Raw genomic sequence first — 20,257 nt, 5'->3', positions numbered from 1 at the left:
GTATCCAGGACGCCTGTAAAGATAATATATTTCTCCCCTAAATTTCACCATAGAATGTCTCTTCTCAAACCATAGCAATTTCCCTCTCAGCTAAACAGAAGATTTTCCCAACTAGGAAATCACCAGACATGCTGTTTCCAGGATGACTTACTTTGAATGCTCAGTGCATTTGAAACTGAACTCCCATGGATAGGAAAGGGGTATGGAGCAGTCATTACATAGCAAATCTTGAAAATGCCAAGATCATTGAACTAAAAAACTTCAAGGCTGGGCACGGTGGCTCATGCCTGTAATCCTAGTACTCGGCCAATGCGGGTGGATCCCTTAAGCTCAGGAGTTCGAGATCAGCCTATGCAACACAGTGAGATCCCATCTCTATAAAAGATACAAAAATTAGCTTGGTGTTGTGGCATGCACCTGTAGTCCCAGCTGCACAAGAAGCTGAGGTGGGAAGATGGCTTGAGCCTAGGAGGTGGAGGTTGCAGTGAGCCAAGATCGCACCACTGCACTCCAGCCTGGGCAACAGAGCCAGGCCTGTCTCAAAATCATTAAAAAATAAATACATAAATAAATAAATGAATGAATAACTAATTCTATTCTTTCTTTTCCCCATCCCCACAGATAGCTACATTAATACAAATGACAGATTATAACCATATATAAACCTCCCAATTAAAACAAACAAATGACTAAAACAGGTGGCAGTGTTAATTGCCGATCTCTCTGTGGTCCACATTCTGTTTCGTTCCTTTAGAACGTCACTACCTACCCCTCGATCTGCAATGCTAGTAAAAGGACTTTCATGTCTGTGCACTTTAAGCATCTTGGGGATGGCATCACAGGAGCAGAAGAGGCCATGGGAAAAGAAACTTTGAATGCAGGGAGCATACTGAGGTAGTCAGCATGTTCTGCTGCTTGATCCTGACATCGGGCTATTGAAATTGAAGATGGAAAACCCGTATTGAGTCATTTGGCTCTCTCCCTTGAGGGCAGTAGATTATGCTGGACAGTATTTTATTTAGCACTCTGTCCAGTTCTATTTTAACTTGCTCTTCCTTGGAGGCCTATTAACTCAAACCCAGCAAGGATTTTATTACAAATGGAAGGCATTCTACTAGTTGGTCATTTCTTCCACAAAACACACATTCTCCAGCTGAGATATTAAAAAACAAAATTTACCAAACAACATGAGAACAGTGCTGGATTGTAGAAGGAGCAATAAGTGGATTGTCGCAAAGTGGCTCCAGACGCTCGCTCTGACTTGCCTGAAACACATGCTCACTGAGAATCCTCAACACTGGGTCCCTGGAAATAGGGACCATGTGACACTAAGCGACCTGTAGCACTGATATCCTCATAGCCCCTTTTCCCCACAGGTCCCAGGATACCCAGGTTCTGGGCAGTTCCTGTTCCCAGGCAATTCATAAACAGCTACACCACATGCAGACTGCTTGGTACTGAGGAAATCTCATTCAACATCGACAAGTTTGCTTTCAGGCTTGCCCTTTGTAAAAGTCAGAGTGGCCCCAGTGGAATGCAAGTCCATGCTACTGGTCAGAAAAACATCTTGGTCCTCATGTTTTCTCTATGGCAAAGATGAGAGGATGAGGGACACTGGGCTTTTCTCCTCCTGGGTTCTGCAAGCTTCTGCCTTCCCAAAAAGGCTGATTCCCTAACTCATGCCATTCTCCAACCTGGTGCATGAAAGACAGTGTCCCAGATGGCACCTTCCTTGAAAAACAAAGAACGAGGACTTCTAGAGCCAAAAGCTGGGTTAAATATGTGCTCTGATGCTCATTCGCTACAGGAGCCTCGGGTTCCGCATCTATCAACTAGAAATAACACCCGTGCCTTAGGCAGGGGCTGGGGTAAGGTGCTGTGGGTACATAGTGAGGGTCAGAACAGTAAAGAAATGCAATCAGTGGTAGCTACTACTGTTGGCATAATTACGAACAGCAGGAGGATGAACAGACACCCCCTGAAAACTTAGGAACATTATTTTTAAATCACATGTAGTGTGAAAAGTACACAGTTTGGTTTGTTATACAGAAACAAGATGTTTAAATCCATGGAGTAGAAGATAACGATAATGCACTGATTGTTGGTTATGAAAGTCAGGAAGAAAATAACCAAGTTCAGTGCTCATCTTGATCTAGGACCATTCATGGCCTGACCTCTCTAATGCGCAGAGGATAAAACCCAGGAGTGCATGATGCTCACCAAGGATCAGTCAGAACTTCTCCAAGGTTCAGCTCCCAAATCAGCCAGAACTTCTCCAAGGATCAGCTCCCAAATCAACCAAAACTTCTCCAAGGATCAGCTCCCAAATCAACCAGAACTTCTCAAAGGTTCAGCCCCCAAGTCAACCAGAACTTCTCCAAGGATCAGCTCCCAAATCAACCAGAACTTCTCCAAGGATCAGCTCCCAAATCAACCAGAACTTCTCCAAGCATCAGCCCCCAAATCAACCAAAACTTCTCCAAGGATCAGCTCCCAAATCAACCAAAACTTCTCCAAGGTTCAGCTCCCAAATCAACCAGAACTTCTCCAAGGTTCAGCTCCCAAATCTACCAGAACTTCTCCAAGGTTCAGCCCCCAAATCAACCAGAACTTCTCCAAGGATCAGCCCCCAAATCAGCCAGAACTTCTCCCAGGATCAGCTCCCAAATCAACCAGAACTTCTCCAAAGATCAGCTCCCAAATCAACCAGAACTTCTCCAGGGATCAGCTCCCAAATCAGCCAGAACTTCTCCCAGGATGGGGGATCTTTTGATCTCATGCAGTCCCTTCACAGTGCTCAGCATTTTACCCAGAAAAGCATCAGTCACCCCTAAAGGCTAAGTTTTAAACACTGTAAAACCAGAAAATGTTATATACACTACTGTGTGAGGCGTGAACGTGGGGAAGTGAGTGTGAAAGTGCATGAATATGAGCATTCAAGAAGGCATGAGTGTGCGAGGGAACCCCACCAACAAAGTAAGCAAGAGGACCTGGCCTCTTTCTATTTGCGACAACCCTAAATGGGGCTCAGAGATTTCCCACTGCGTTCCTTACCCTCTTAGTGCTGCACGCCGGCCTCTACAAAGCCATAAGCAAGGAAAAGAAGTAGAGGATCGTGAGTTTAAACAGTTCAAAATAAATTGGTATTGGGTGTTAAGGGCTTAAATTCCACTATCTATGTTTACCGTGTCTTAAGTTGAATTAAAACAAAATCCAACAACACAATGTTACAAGATGTTGCTGCCTAGAAACAACCGAAAGCTGGATTAGAGGGGCATAAATTAAGGATTGGGTACATTGTAACTAATTAAATATATACAAAAGAAAAGCAGATTTGGTAATATAATTGCAGGCTATGTAGTATTTAAAGTCTCTTATTGAGTTAAAAGAGCATTGTATTATGTTAAATTGGTAAGCTAATAATAAAGATATGACATGAATAAACTTTAATATACCAAATAAAAAAGCCCCAAAGTGTATATATATAAAACAAAAAACAGACAGATGTATGGCTGCAGCTGATAAATTTTTAACTCACCATTATCAACATACAGCAGATACCATATTCAAAAATGAAACAAAATAAGAACTGAAAAAAATAAGTAATAAAATTAATGAGGTGGAACTAATAGAATATGCCAAACTTTTTATCTGAAAGTTAGAAATCTCATCCTCTTTCATACCTTCTGTCCATATACAATCACCAACTGTGAAAACAAAATTATCATCCTATTTCCAGAAATTATTAAGACAAAAAGCTGATAAAAAATATTTAGCTAAACGAAGCATTAGAATACCAAATGATAGGGATGTGCGTGATGACTTAACTGTTTCTTGCACGTTTTGCTGGGCGCTGTAATTCAGATAGTTTGTGTTTTAACTTTTACAATCTTTTAGTCTGCAATAATAATTTTATAGTTTGCTGTGGAACTGCACCAAATCCATAAAATCTGCAAAAGTCCTCAAAATTCCACATATGTGGGTTGTCATTGGCCCTAATAATTGTGCTCCAAGTTTTGCACTAAATTCTTCCACAAATTAGAAATGAAAACACCATGTGCTTCAGAGGAATGAATGAAAAACACCTGCCCTCTCCCTCTCCCTCTCCCTCTCCCTCTCCCTCTCCCTCTCCCTCTTTCCCCACGGTCTCCCTCTCCCTCTCTTTCCACGGTCTCCCTCTGATGCCGAGCCGAAGCTGGACTGTACTGCTGCCATCTCGGCTCACTGCAACCTCCCTGCCTGATTCTCCTGCCTCAGCCTGCCAAGTGCCTGTGATTGCAGGCGCGCGCTGCCACGCCTGACTGGTTTTCATATTTTTTTGCTGGAGACGGGGTTTCGCTGTGTTGGCCGGGCTGGTCTCCAGCTTCTAGCCACGAGTGATCCGCCAGCCTCGGCCTCCCGAGGTGCCAGGATTGCAGACGGAGTCTCGTTCACTCAGTGCTCAATGGTGCCCAGGCTGGAGTGCAGTGGCGTGATCTCGGCTCGCTACAACCACCTCCCAGCCGCCTGCCTTGGCCTCCCAAAGTGCCGAGATTGCAGCCTCTGCCCGGCCGCCACCCCATCTGGGAAGTGAGGAGCGTCTCTGCCTGGCTGCCCATCATCTGGGATGTGAGGAGCCCCTCTGCCTGGCTGCCCAGTCTGGAAAGTGAGGAGCGTCTCTGCCCGGCGCCATCCCGTCTAGGAAGTGAGGAGCGCCTCTTCCCGGCCGCCATCCCATCTAGGAAGTGAGGAGTGTCTCTGCCCGGCCGCCCATCATCTGAGATGTGGGGAGTGCCTCTGCTCCACCGCCCCGTCTGGGATGTGAGGAGCGCCTCTGCCCGGCAGCCACCCTGTCTGGGAAGTGAGGAGCTTCTCCGCCCGGCAGCCGCCCCGTCCGGGAGGGAGGTGGGGGGTCAGACCCGCCCGGCCAGCTGCCCCGTCCGGGAGGGAGGTGAGGGGTCAGCCCCTGCCCGGCCAGCCACCCCATCCGGGAGGTGAGGGGCGACTCTGCCCAGCCGCCCCTACTGGGAAGTGAGGAGCCCCTCTGTCCGGCCACAACCCCGTCTGGGAGGTTACCCAACAGCTCATTGAGAACGGGCCATGATGACAATCGCGGTTTTGTGGAATAGAAAAGGGGGAAAGGTGGGGAAAAGATTGAGAAATCGGATGGCTGCTGTGTCTGTGTAGAAAGAAGTAGACATGGGAGACTTTTCATTTTGTTCTGTACTAAGAAAAATTCTTCTGCCTTGGGATCCTGTTGATCTATGACATTACCCCCAACCCTGTGCTCTCTGAAACATGTGCTGTGTCCACTCAGGGTTAAATGGGTTAAGGGCGGTGCAAGATGTGCTTTGTTAAACAGATGCTTGAAGGCAACATGCTCGTTAAGAGTCATCACCACTCCCTAATCTCAAGTACCCAGGGACACAAACACTGCGGAAGGCCGCAGGGTCCTCTGCCTAGGAAAACCAGAGACCTTTGTTCACTTGTTTATCTGCTGACCTTCCCTCCACTATTGTCCTATGACCCTGCCAAATCCCCCTCTGCGAGAAACACCCAAGAATGATCAATAAAAAAAAAAAGTAAAATAAAAAGTCTAGAAAATATAGAAAAGCAGAATAATGTAATAACCCATCAACCAGAATAAACAGATGTTCACATTTTGTCATTTTTACTTTGTAGGGTTTTCTGGTTTCATTTTGTATTTTGATTTGAGAACTTTATAAAATAAAAACAGTAGGGCAAAGATGAAAAAAAAAAATAAAAAATAAAAAAAAAATAAAGGGGATGCAGCCCGACTGCCAGGAGCGGAGCGCGAGTCGGCCCAGCCAATGCGCATGCGCGAGGCGTGAGCGGCTTCCCCCATCACAGTGGTTCCCACAGTTGTCTTAGAAACCAGTCCCCGAGGCTTGGCAAAGCAGAAGCCCTCCGTGGCAGTGCTTGTGTGTCGGGGCTCCGAGGCTCCGGCCTGACCTCTCCACGGGGGCGACGGGAACTTCTCCAGATGCCAGGAGTCGCAAAGGGCCGACCACCATGAGGAAACCCCAGGCGGGGACGGGGGAAGCAGCACGGGATCCCAGCCTCAGGCCTGCCCGGATGGTGTTGGTTGGGGTGAGTCTCCCCAAAAGTCGTGCCGCCATCCGTGATCTCGAGGACAGGTTGGCCTGCGTGCCCCTGGGCTGCTCTCTCACCTGAGGGTCGTTCTCGTCGTGAGCAGAACCCCGCAGCCTCAGGGGTTGCCGGTGGTGTGTGTTTCAATGCCTCTGCTGTATGACTCTGTGTGTGTGTCTCTGTGTGAGTGTGTGTGTGTGTGTGTGTCTCTCCCATTCTCTCCTCTCTCTGTCTCTCAGTCTCTGTGTGTTTCTTTCCCTCTCTCTGTGGGTTTGTGTGTGTATGCCCGTGTTCATGTGTGTCTTTGGCCAAATGTGCCCTGTGCGCCACAAAGCGGTTTGTCGCATGGCGGCCTGTCTTTGGTGAGCCTCTTTCTCCATCTCTGCCTGGGTCATGAGGCCGGCTGTCAATCGTTTTCGCCGCGGCAGATCCGCTTTGGGTGTGTGAAAGCCTGGCCCACGTGAGGAGATGCGTCGCTCCCGGAGCAACTGAAATCTCATCCCCATCCTGAGCGGCCTCTTTTCTAGGATCAAGATGAACACACTGCAGCCAAGGACAAGAGCCCCAGAGGAACTCTTTGTCCCACAGGAGAGCAGTGGATCCACGCCAGAGAAGATGCTTGTATATTTTCACGGCTCTTCTCTGAGAAATGAAGCCACACCATGATACAGTCAGCAAGCAATCTAGAGCAAAGGCTTCTTTCAACCCTCCCCCAAGCTCCCAATACAAGCCCAAATTCAGGAACAAGTCCTTTCCAACACCTCCTTCAGAGAGGCTCCCTGGCTCCAGGCAGTGCTTGCTCCCCTCACTGCAGCAGGAAGCCCAGCTTGCGAACTGCAGGTGTGCTCCAGATGGTCGCTGGATGCAGGGTATTGACAGATGGATCCCATCGATACCACCACTGCATAACCATGTAAACATATCATCCCCCACTTGCACATGAGGAAACGGAGGTCCACAGGGTGGGGAAGGGAAGACATAATTTGTCCTTCAAATGCGATACCGGTGAGATGTGAGAGGCAGCACCCCTCATAACTCAGCGAGGCAGTGGGCACACCAGGACCCTCCCAGGCAGATCGGGTGTGTGGTCGCCCCCATTGCATAGCATGGGCGGGAGTTGGGGAGACCACACATTGGTCTCGCCACCTCTCCACTGGCCCGACCTCCCTGCAGATCCCCAGGACAGGGTTAGCATCTGCTTTCTGGCAGGCTTGGCCACCAGAGGTCTTTGCTTACGTCTAAGTTCCCTGTAGTTGTGGTTCACAGGATAGGGGCTGCTCCTGAGATTCAGCACCACACAGGCACTGCACAGCACTGTGCCATGGTGGTGGGCACTCGCTTTCCAGATAGGGCCCAAGTTGCCAGCAGGCATGATGCATCATTTACCCTACCCTGAGTGCAATAGGTGGTTTTATAGAAAAAAACTTGGGCCAGGTGTGGTGGCTCACACCTGTAATCCCAGCACTTTAGGAGGCCAAGGCGGGTGGATCACAAGGTCAGGAACTCAAGACCAGCCTGGCTATGAAAAATACAAAAATTAGCCAGATGTGGTGGTGGGCTCCTGTAGTCTCAGCTACTCAGGAGGCTGAGGTAGGAGAATCGCTTGAACCCAGGAGGCGGAGGTTGTGGTGAGCCAAGATCATGCCACTGCACTCCAGCCTAGGTGACAGAGCAAGACTCCATCTCAAAAAAAAAAAAAAAAAAGAAAAAGAAAAGGAAAAGTATTTGTAGATGAATGAAGGTGACTCCTTTGATTATTGGAAATGATTTTATTGTAGCCATTTGTCTGGCACTCATTCTGATGGGGTGACATGTGTCCCTGCCTTAGTCAGCAGAGCACAGGAATGTACTACACCTCCCCTCACCTGAGGATTCAGCCCATGAGCAGGAACGCCTGTCTTTGTGTCATACCAATAGAGAGGATGTGTCTGGTTACACCATTCACTGCAGAGGCAGAAATTACCCAGAAAGAAGAGAGAGTCTGTTCCCGGGAGTGTGTTCTTTTGACCCAGCATGGGGGTCATCTCCTTTCCTTGGCCAGGACCCCCAACCTGAACACAGAGGCAGAGAACATGTGAAGGGCTCCCATTCCCAGGTGGTCCAGGGTACAAGCTCTGAGCCTGTGGTCCTGGTCACTGCCCTTTTCTCCACAGCATGGCTGTCACCATCCTGGGCTGGGGCACAGAGGGCTTTGCAGAGATCAGCATAACAAAAGCATCACTGAGATGCTGCAATAGGAAACCGTGATACCTTCGTGGGCTGCCAAGGCAGCCTAAGCTATTTGTTGCTGCACTCAGTGTCCCCAGACAGCTGTGTGGCTGTCACTGCCTCTGGTGTGTCCATTTTACTTCTCTTCTCCTGCCTGAGCTTCTGCTCTGAACTCTGTCTCTAACTTACAAGAAATCAAGCTCACTGGATTCTGAGCTCTTCGGGGTCAAGTACTGTGTCAGTAGTTCATGTCTCTTTCTAGAGATCACAGCTGAGTATCTGGCACAGAGCAGATACTTAGCCAATGCCAAATGATTCATTTGCCGGAAAGCTGAATTTCATCCATAATCCTAGTCAATGCAAATACATTCTGCTGGTGGGGTTTGTTTGTCCTCTGAAGGCATTTTCCCAGGCTTTGTAAATACATACAGGCCATTTAGAAATTTGAATGTCAAAGAGTAAAGGATCTTAGAAAGTAAACATTGGAGAAGTGTGGGAGGGTGGTATTATTTGCAAAACATTCCTGGGTCCTTGTGAGTTCTATACACCCTTGATGAGCGCCAATTCTGGGCCAGGCCAGACACCCAGCTGGACCCAGGAGATACTGAGGTGAGTAAAGCCAAAATGCCTCCCTTCAGCAGGAGGCAGGCAGTTACACCAAAGTGATAAAGGCACAAAACCCAGAGAGAGCACAGGAGCAAGAACTACCTTGTTCCTGGACTGTGTGACCTCAGGGAGAGCTTTCTGCACAGAGGACATCTGTGCAGGGCTTGGAAGGATGAAAATAAATTTGCCTACCAGAAAAGGGAGCCAAGGAAATCCTGATGGAGAACAGCTTGGGTGAGAGTGTGAGCCACAGGATTGAGGGGCACAGGCATGGAACTGGAGGAGCAGAAAGAATGAGGGGGGATAAAGTTGGGAGGTCAGCAGAGGTCAGTCACAGAAGGTTTTGAATCCTGGTGAGGGACCAGTGGGTGCTGCACAAGGGACATGGGCCTGGAGGAGATGCAGTTAGCTCTGAGTGAAGATGCAGCATGCCATCCACTAGGGAACCACAAGATGCAATATAAATAAGAACCCTGAGAAGCCTGCACAAAGGATGAGGGGCCCAGGGGTAGCACCAAGAAGGTCCCTGTCAGAGGCCAGCTTTCAACGGAGACAGAAAAGACTCTTGAGGGCCTCAGCTGCTGCAAACCTCCTCAACATATTTTAAAAATACCTTTAAATATTTGCTAAAGAATACTAACTATTGGAAGAGCAATGGTCCATTGATAATAATTATTCCCTCACTCACTGTACATTTTTTACAATTCTCAAAATGCTCTCGGTCCAGTGTCTCATTGGAACCCCCATAAAATCCCATTTTACAAATAGGGAAACAAGGCGCTGTGATGTCACACTGAAGTTTGCAGCAGTTCCAGGATAGAAAAGAGGGAGCACTTTCATCTCAGCCCTCGGTATAAGTCTCAAAGTTCCTTTTCTGGGAGGGGGTCCTTGAGGCCATCCAGCAGCCCATAGTCCAAATCTTCTTTTTCCTCCTTGGGCTTCTCCACACCCGTATCCGAAGCATCCTTCTCCTCCTTTGTTCTCAGGTACCACTACCAGTTGTTGGGCCGGGAGACCTCCTGCTGCTGCCAATCCTAGGGTGCATCCTCCAACATGGGTGCATTGTGGTTCAGCCAGCACCTACACCACCTGCAGCCTACCCAGGGCTCCTGTGGTGGGCCTGAGGTTCCACCCTATCAAATGGAGATATGCTGGGGTTGCTGCCTTTGCTAAAGCCCATGTCCAGGTCATCTTGGGGGTGGCCAACGGTACAGGGCCCTGGGGACAGGCCAGAGGGCTGCAGGGGCAAAAACTAAGAGGATGAGGGGATCTCTGAGTCAGACCGCCTGGATCCACATCCCAGAGACTAGCTGCAAGGCCTGGGGAAGACTGGTTCACCTCTCTGAGCGTCAGTTTCCTCCACTGTAAAGTGGGAGGTATAAAAGATTCACTCCTACAGTTGTCTCTGAGCTTTACAGCCGGTAATGTGTGCAAAGTACTTCGCACAATGCCTGGCACATGGTAGGTGATAATAAACAGGGTTACTATGATATCATCATCTGAGCTAGGTCACTCATGCACTTCTCCAATGCTTCAGGGTTCCCCTCCATCCCTCACAGGGTAGCAGCAAGTGAAAGGGATACCCCTGGCCTTGAGGAGCTCACATCTTCTCATTTCCCAGGGGTCTCCATCCAGTGCCCACACATGCCTGGCATGCAGTAGGCGCCTCATCCACATCTGGTGAAAGAGTGGAAAGCAGGTCATTGTCATGTATTGTTTGCAACCGAATCTGCAGTAGGGGACAGAGAAGTGAGTGACTGTAGTTGTGCCTGCTAGTTCCTGTCCCTGAACTTTCAGGGATCAAGAGGCCTTAGCAAGTCTAGTACCAGGGAGTGGGCACTGTGTGGTGGAGCAGGAGGCAGGTCCTAAGAAAGGCAGTGGGGTGAGGAGAGGAGCTCTGCCTTTGAGGTCTGGGAGATCCTCCACCAGGACCTCACCAAAGGCCCCAGGCATTCATCCCTCCTCCCAGAATCTCTCTATGCTCTTCTGTATAATGGGGCTAACCTGGAAGAGATACATGCAAAGCCATGTTCAGAGCAGCATCATTCACAATAACCAAAAGGTGGAAGGAACCCAAGTGTCAATGGATGGATGGACGGATCAACAAAATGCTGTCTATGCATACAGTGGAATAGTGTTCAGCCTTGAAAAGGAAGGAGAGTCTGACACGTGCTGCGTCAAGAATGAACCCGAGGACATTAGGCTGAACAAAATAAGCCAGACCAAAAAGACAAATGCTGTATTATTCCACTTTTCCAAGACACCTAGAGTAGTCAAATCCATAGAGACAGACAGGAGAATGGTGGCTACCAGGTCCTGGGGAGGGTGGGGATTGGGGAGTTGTTTTTAAATGGGTTACAGAACTGTAGTTTTACAAGATGAAAAGCACTCTGGAAATTGGTTGCACAACATTGCGAATGTATTTAATGCCACTGAAATGTAAATTTAAACATAGTTAGACAGTAAATTTTAGTTCATTTTGCCACAATTTTTATAATGGGGTAGTTATGCCTGTCTCCTTGTGTTGCTGTAGGATTTCATGAGATAACATATAAGGAACCACCCAGCATGTTGCCTGGCACATAGTAATTGCTCAATAAATCACAACTGGATGCTATTGAAGATAAAGTTACCTGACTTCTCTGAGACCCTACTGTATTATACTGGGTTCATAAATAGCACTCCCCCTTTTCCCTTCCCACAGAGTGCAGTGAATAGAAGACACTTCTCTGCACCCCAAAAGCTCCATGCTGATTGCGAGAAGGAAATGCTGGATGGAGGGCTTCCTGGAACTACTGTGAGGGGTGAGATTTCCCCAGATGTCTAGAAATGACGCAGGGGCCCGACATCTTCCACCCCCACTAAGGTTGCCTTGCAGTTCCCAGCTGGCTCTATACTTCCTAGAAACAGCCACTTTTCTGCCTCCATTACCTCATAGCCCAGTCAGCACCATTATCATCATCACCATGATTGCCATCACCATCCTTACAATCACCAACACTATCATCATGGCCATCACCATTCTTACCCTTGCCATTCTCACCATCATCAACACCAGCATCTTCACCATAACTATCACTATCGTTATCGCCACCTTCACCATCACCATCCTCACCATAATAATTATTGTCACCCTCCCCATCCTCATAATCGTCATCATTATCATCATTACCATCACTATCATCATCACCACCATCAAAATGATCCTTGCTACATGGAACCATGCATTCTGGGTAGGAGGGATCTTTGGTCAGGGCATCTAACACATCTTGTAGGATAGAAACCCAGCCCCTCAGGGTCTCACAGTTGGTGAAATAACTGATTCTTGTGAGGTCATATTCCTCTGGGTGATGTGGGATGTCACAAGACCAATAAATATGGGTTGAAGCCCATCGCATCACTTCTTTTTTTGTAAAATAAGCTCCATCATCAGTAGTAATTGTATGATAGCAGAGAATAAGAACTCAGCAAATGTAAATAATTTGATGCTATGAGAAGCATATGAAGTGGAGTCCGTATTTGGAAATGCATCTATTCCAGTGAGGGCAATTCTTTACCACTTCCATGAAGGAAGGGAAAAAATATTATTACAACATTACCAGAAATCTGTCTGGTCTAGGCAAGGTAGTTCCTCTTTCCAGGGTCTCAGCATTGCTCATTGTCGGCAGTCAGGGCACTCATCTGGGCAGTAGGCAGCACTGCTGCAGGGAAATTCATGTTATTGGAAACATGTAGCATCTTCTCCTGCTACCATCGCCACATTGTCCATGAACCCACTGGGCAAACGATGAGGAATCTGGGAAAAGTTCTCATAACCAGAATATAATCATCCACATCAGGATATCAGCATTCACCCAACACTACTGTCCAATCAACAGATCCAAATTTTCTCAGCTGTGCCCTAAATACATTTTTTTGAACTTTGTAATCCAGGATCCAATCCAGGAGTTCCCATTGCATTAATTGTCATGACTATTAAGTTCCTTCAACTTCAAACAGTTCCTCTGTTTTGCCCTATTTTTCATAACCTTAAGAGTTTTAAAGAGCATACACACTTATGAAGGATGTGTTCACCTTTTTCCATCTGATGTGTTTCCACATCCAGACTTAGGTCATGTATCTTTCACAAGAAAACCACAGAAATAATGCTGTGGTCTTCCTAGGACATCACAGCAGGAGGCACATGATCAAGTTTGTGCCAGATTTCTCCACCACAAAGTCATCATTCTTCCAATTGTAATTGAGAAGTATTTCATATGAAGATATTAATTACACATACACATGAATGTATATTTATATGTAAAATACATACAAAATATTATTTCAATGTCTAACCAATATAAAAGTTATTAATTAGATATGTTTAATTTTATTTCCTACTAAGTCTTCAAAATCTGGTGTGTGTTTTACCCTGACAGCACATCTCACTCCAGCCTAGCCACATTTCAAATGCTCAATATTCACATGGCTGTGGCTACCATATTTATCAGGGCAGCACTAAAGCACTAAAAAACTTCTTCCTTGGAGAAGTTCTAAGCTTTCAAAATGTTTGGCAAATACATTTTATAAAATTCTTCAGAATCCATAAATAGGCAATTACACATTTAGTAAGTCATATAATCCAACATGACATTAAAAATGAATCCCTCGACAAAAAAGAAGGTAGGCAACATTTTCTTCAGACCAAATGGACAAATCAATTATGATTACCTAACATGCCTATTATTATTTATTAACATCCTTCATTAATACCCCCAAACCCCATCAACAGGTAAATGAACAAATGCATTGAGGCCTATCTGAACAATGTCCCAATTCCTTACCATTCTTACTACTTTTGCAAGCAGAAAAGACTCAGTATTAGCAAAGACTATTCAGATAGTTTGTTCTTATGCCAGTAGTTGTAATTTCCTGGAGGTCTATGTGACATCAATTATGTACTTCAATACCTCTCACAAGTACTTTTCCTGTTTGGCCATTTTCTGCAGTATATCCATGCTCCCATTTTCTCTATTCTTTTATTTCTATCCTAGACTTTTCTTTCATCCTATAAATCTTTATCCTAAAAATATTAATTTAAGGATAACATCACAAAATAATATATTTCTTCAGATGATACTCCAAATTGATACCTAATATACAGAAATGACTATCATGGATGTAACCCACAACATGTGAAATGTATGGCTCATTCTACTGACATTATAAAGGAAAGTTAATGACAACTGAATTTCTAGTCATTTTCCACCCAACCAGTTGCTTATAAACTGGCAAGGAATTGTAGGTATGTACACAGTGGCTATTTTTTGGTGGGGTGTTCAGCAACTCTCCTCTTGAGAGCCCCCCTTTTCTTTGGGGACCATTTCAATGAGCACCAACTAGGCCTGACCCAACCTAAAAGCCCCAGCCCTAGAGGTGATCATGATGCCAAGTTCTGGCAAAAGACTCTACCCTTGGATCATAGCAACTGTTTCAGTACTATTTTTTTGGAATCATCAGGAAGGACTCTTGCTTTTTCTACCACTGTGGTATGTGAGGACAAAGTAAAGTGGGTTATTTCTAGTACTATCTCTTGCTACAAAGAGAGAAGAGAGTCATCTTCAGAAGGAAAAAATGAGGCTAAAACAAAAGGAAAAGTGTCAAGAGAAAGAAGGAAAACATTTCTTGATGATTTTATATAAGCCCCTGGGTCCAGCTATGCATGACAGTGACTTGGGTTAAAGCTCTGTCACTTATAGGACCATTGACTTAAATATAAAATAAAGTATTAAAAGCTATGAACTTTGAGATGAAAATAAAGAAAATTTGTAATATTCAATTAATCAAAAACATCTTAGATGAAGCCCCAAAAACCAAATGCAAAACAACAATTAATAAATTTGACCCCATCAAAATTGAGAGCATCTGCTAACTGAAAGATAGTGTTATGAGAACACAAAGAAAACTCAAGGGGAAAATACTGGCAAGTCTCATATCTAATAAGGGATTTGAATCTAAAGTATATAAAGAAACTGTTAAAATTTAATAATGAGAAAATAAGCAAAGAATAAAACAAAAAAGGGAGAAGCAAAAAAATGTGAACATACACTTTACCAAATATATACAGATGGCATGTAAGTACATAGATACTAGATATTATTAGGCATTATGGAACCACAATAAAATACTATTGTACACACATGAAAATGCCTAAAATTTTAAAAGAAGGCCCATACAAAATGTTGGCAAGAGTGTGGAATTCTTATATACTGCTGATAAAAATATAAAATGGTACAACCATTTTGGCAAACATTTTGACAGTCTCTTAAAACTAAACCTAAACCTGTTAGCTATTACACTCCTAATATTTACTCAAAGTTATAGGAACTTATGTACATGAATGTTCATTGCAAATGTATTTGTATAAGTCCAAAACCGGAAGCAATGCAAAAACCCATCAACAGGCAAATGGATATATAAGTTGTGACCGATCTGCACAATAGAATACTACTCAGTCATAAAATTAATGACCTATTGATGCCTGCAATATAGCTGAATCTCAAAATAATTATGCTGTGTGAAAAATGCCAGACCCCTCCAAAAAAGGGTGCATACTACACTTCATTTATATAAATGTCTACACAAGGCAAACTATTTTATAGTGACAGATTGGTGATTGCCAGGGAGTGTGGTAAGGTAGGAAGATACAGAAAGTTTGGGATTATAAAAGGGCAAGGGGAAACTTTTTTGAGTGCTGGATATGTTCTTTATTTTTATTTTGGTGATGGATTTGCAAGTACATATACAAAATAACACGCAATGGAAGTAGAAACAGTATTTTTGTTCCTTTCTTAAAAAAGCACAATTTACTTACTATTGGGATGTGTGTGCCTGTTGGGCACACAGCACAACTTTTCAAATCTTAAAATCGGACTGGATCTCAACCACTGGACCTTATTCTTATTCCACACTGACTTTAGCACAATACTTGCTTTCTTCGTGGTAATTAACAACACCCACCCTAAAGGTAAAGAAATGCACTTCTAACTAAGTACTTTTGAAACTATGAACTGCCTCAGGCTAGTAGTTCTTAAGGTCTCCAGCAAATGTTGCTTTGTTTCCCTCAAAAATATACAGCCTGGGCAACATGGCAAAACCCCATCTCTACTAAAATTACAAAACTTAGCCAGGAATGGTGGTGCATGCCTGTTGTCCCAGCTACTCAGGGAGGCAGAGGCTGCAGTGAGCCTAGACCTCACACTCCACTTCAGCCTGGGGGACAGAGTGAGACCCCCATCTCAGATACAAACGCACACATACACATACTCACACACTATCCACTGGTGCCCGTCAGTTAAACACAGCATCTCAGGGCACCTTAGCACACAGTGTGAGAGTAGTGGTCCTAAACACTTCAATTAAAAGTGAAACATCTCTGGCTGGATTTTTAGAATATTTACTTTTTAATGTTTTATATTATATTTATTTTTTATGTTTTAATTAATTTATCTGAATACAAGAATCTAGACATTTGGAAGTAAAACAGTGGAAAACATGTCTGAAAACACTAATCAGCACAAAGCTCGTGTTGCTATGTTATTATTGACAGTTTAGTCTTAAGCCAAGAAATATTGCTAAGATAAAAGAGATTTTACAATGTGAGTCACTAGAAAAGTATGCCAATGTTAAATATGTATAAATATAAAATATCCCTTCAAATTATTTACTACAGAAACTGATATAACTAAAAGAAAAATGGACTAATTACAATATAGATTTTAACATACCTTTCAATTACCGATGGAACCAACAGAAAAAATCCATAAGAGAAAGGGAGATTTGATGAACACAATGAACGAACTTGACATAAACTGACATATACAGAACCCGACACTCAACAACTACTGAATACACATCCTTTTCCAGTGCATGTATCATATTTACCAACATAGATTATATGTTGGAATTTAAAGGGACTCATCAAAGAGTATTCAGTCATGGGATTTTGCCTAAACTTGTCTGGCCTTCAACAGGGTTCAAATACAGTTAAATTCTTATTTCATCTAAAGAGTCCTATCCTTTCTGGTTTGGAAATTTTACCACAACAATCTAAATTTGCATAACAACTGAACCCAGCCCTTGGAACTTGAAGTTTATTCTAGCCAAAGGCAGATTAAACTGTCTAAGTAGTAATGTCCTTCAAATTGTTGTCCCCTGCTCCAGTAATGGAGTATAGCTCCAAGAAGCTAACAGACTATTTGTCCTTCATAGTATACATTCTGTTATATCAAAACACGGTATAAAGCCTTGAAATCAGCAGCAGAGAGAAAATGAGATCAACAACCATCGAGCTGTGACCTCACTACTTAGTAATTACACTTTTAGCTGACTCCTTTACTTGATTCCTAACCGCTTATTTCTGGCAGGGTAGCACTGATATCTGACCAAGCTGACCTTTTAAGAAGTGAACAGAATGAAAAGGCTCTACCGCTAGTGATCAGTTTAACAAGCTGCAACACTAGTCACTGGCTGCAACTCTAGTCACTGGCTGCAACTCATATTGTGGGATTTAAGAGCTCAGAATTAACATGGAAATACTATTGACTCCAAAAGAAACCCAGAAATCTCTGGGAATCCAGCAAAGATAAAAAGGGTCCTCTCAATAGTCACCACTCACACTTTGCTTTGTTTTGGTAACTATTTTATTACATACGGAGAATATCAAAAAAGTATGTCTTTTCCTCATTGTGAATGTTAACCCTAAAATGGTAAGGCTCTTGCATGTTGAAACCCCCAGGCTCTCACTGGCCCTTCAACAGAAGGCAGTGAAGTCACCTGCAAGAGTGATTCACCCAAGAGCTTCCAGGCTGGACAAGTTGAGACTCAGTTCTTGCAGTTCCCAAATTCACAGTTCTCTTGGGACATGGTTATTTATCGAGCTCCTGAAGATGAGAAATCCCACCCAGGAAATTCTGTTTATAAAAGATTATTCACATCTAATTACCTCAGGAGACATTAACACAGCAATGTTGAAAATTTTCCATTAATTGTTAATCCACGGAGAAAAACTGAACGATTATTTTTTAAAATATGAAAAGCTTCATATAATACAAATTAAACTCCCACATGTGATTCAATTTCTAGTCATTAATGCCAGAGAAGTTAATAATTACGAATTGCCAGTGTTAAAAAAAATAAATCATTCATCATTGGAGAAGTGCAGAAGGTTTAAAAGAGATAAGAATTAGTTTTTGGCTTTGAGGCGTTTTATGCTTTCCAGAAGGTTTTGCTCTTTTTTTTATTTTTGCTCATGGCTTTCTCTCTCTCTCTCTCTTTCTTTCTGATTTCAGTTTCTTTTGATTTCTCCTGCTTAGAAATGGTAGAGAACTTTGGATGTGGAACGTGGAGTATGAGGAACACGAAGTGAAGGTCCGCACTTCGGGTGGTCAGCACTGCCATGCCCAGCAAAGGCACTGCCTGGTCCACATCCCAGAGGGGTCTCTGAGCCCCAGTCGGCATCGCAGCTGATGGTGAAACTTTTGGTGTGGCAGTAGAGTGTCTACAAACTTTAGAAGGTATCCGCTGCCTCCTCCATAGCCGTGTATCACTGCCGAGGGCGATCATCTCTAGGATCGGAACGTCCTGCTCATGGGCCAGGGCTGGCTGGCTGGAGCCACTTGCGTGGCGCAGCCCTGGCTGAGGTTCAGGCGGCCCCGGTGTCGCAAGCGGCTGTGAGTGATGCCTCCTTGGGGCCGGAGGGGTCCCAGGAAGGCGGCTGACCAGCACGCAGCATGGTGGCCGGCCGCGATGGAAGGTGACGGGGTTCGCAGCGCCAGGGGATCCAGCAGAGCCCGAGCCCGGGCATCCCGCGTCTCCAGCAGCACCGCGGGTAGGCCTGGCGCTGGTGACGTGGCGGCCAGTGCACAAGGCCCACGACCCAGCCCCAGAGGCCAGCCCATCGTCAGCTAACTTCAGGAACCCCGGGCCAGCTTGAGGCCCCGGGCCCCACGGGCAAGACAAAGGGCAGAGGGCCGCAGGCGGGGCCAAGAGCAGGCAGTTCAGGCCTGGCTCCACCGCTGCGGAGCTCGCAGGGCGCAGCAGGCACCAGGCAGCGACCAGGGCTTCCAGAGGAGGCTGTGCACCCCTGCAAAGGCTCCTGCCCGGCGTCCGGCCTATCCGTGGGGATTCCACGTGCACCCCCTCCTCATTGTCCTTGTCTAGGGCCGCGGCAAGGTCCTCGCTCCCATGGCGTGACTCCGGGGGCGCAGGAGCCTGGGCCGAGCAGGTGGAGTACGGTGAGCTCCGCCAAGAACCCAGCGAGAGTGGCGCCCCAGGGAGGCACAGGAGGCTGCATTTAACGTGTCAATCATCTCAAAGATTTTATAGCATCTTCTTTTTCTTGACATCTTATAATATCTGTAATGTCTATTATATCTTATAATTATTAAAACCACTTCATTGTGATTATTATGATTAGTTTTATACCAACACATCTTCAATTATTAATATTCCCAGTTGCTAGAGAAAAATGAAAACGACTAGTTTTGAAAGCCTTACTTCTGCCAATGGAAGCACATTCCAGCATGTCGCCAACGCAATCCGCTTTCCACCACTTTCACAAGAAACGTTACTGCACAATTATACTATCCTACCCTTATATACCTTTTGTGTGTATGTGTGTACTTGTATGCACGTATGTTACATATGATATATATATATACACACACACACACACATATATATATATAAACTATGCCAGAGATGAACAAGTATTAGGAAATTAAATGCACACAGGTCATATCAGTGCTATGTATAATGTGATGTACTAAGTATAGATGTTCAACAGTGTGGGATCTAGGCTGGAACAAGACTCCTAGTCTTAAGCAATTCTTTCTAGGTTCAGTCTCTGGAAATAATGCTTTGTATCAAATGTGTGAGAAAATTAATGGGTTTTAAAGACTATTCTATGTCAACTATAACATTTCATTTGGGGATTTCTGTCCCTTATAATATCTACCTCATTTTGGATGGATTCCTTGAAGCCTGGTTTATTTTTCTCTTCCTTTCTACACATCGCTGCTCAGAGTGATGAATGGAGTTGTATTTTGAATAAAATAGCTAAGCATCCTTTTGTGAGCAAGGAGCATGATGGTACTTAGACCTACCACTTCTCGTTATGGTGGTTACAGTTACAGTGGGGCTGGGGTGTTTACCTGGAGCCTGGACGTCCACTGGGACTTGATACCCACTGGGATTTTTTTGTGTCAACCTGGTCTCTGATGTCCACCTGGGGAGTGGGTATCCACCTAAGGCCTGATGTTTACCTGGAGCCAGATGTGCACCTGAGGCCTGATGTCTATCTGTGGCCTTATGT

The 20,257-nt window shown here is 44.9% G+C and overlaps 1 pseudogene; it reads left to right on the top strand.

The window, feature by feature from the left end:
- The first annotated feature begins 6,952 nt into the window (after window positions 1-6,952).
- On the top strand, window positions 6,953-20,042 carry LOC102723668 (protein FAM182A-like; annotated as a pseudogene).
- Window positions 20,043-20,257: the final 215 nt, after the last annotated feature.

This window comes from Homo sapiens, chromosome 21 (genome assembly GCF_000001405.40).
Source record: "Homo sapiens chromosome 21, GRCh38.p14 Primary Assembly".
In the NCBI taxonomy this organism is placed as follows: domain Eukaryota; kingdom Metazoa; phylum Chordata; class Mammalia; order Primates; family Hominidae; genus Homo; species Homo sapiens.
This window is presented reverse-complemented; position numbering and strand designations above follow the sequence as displayed.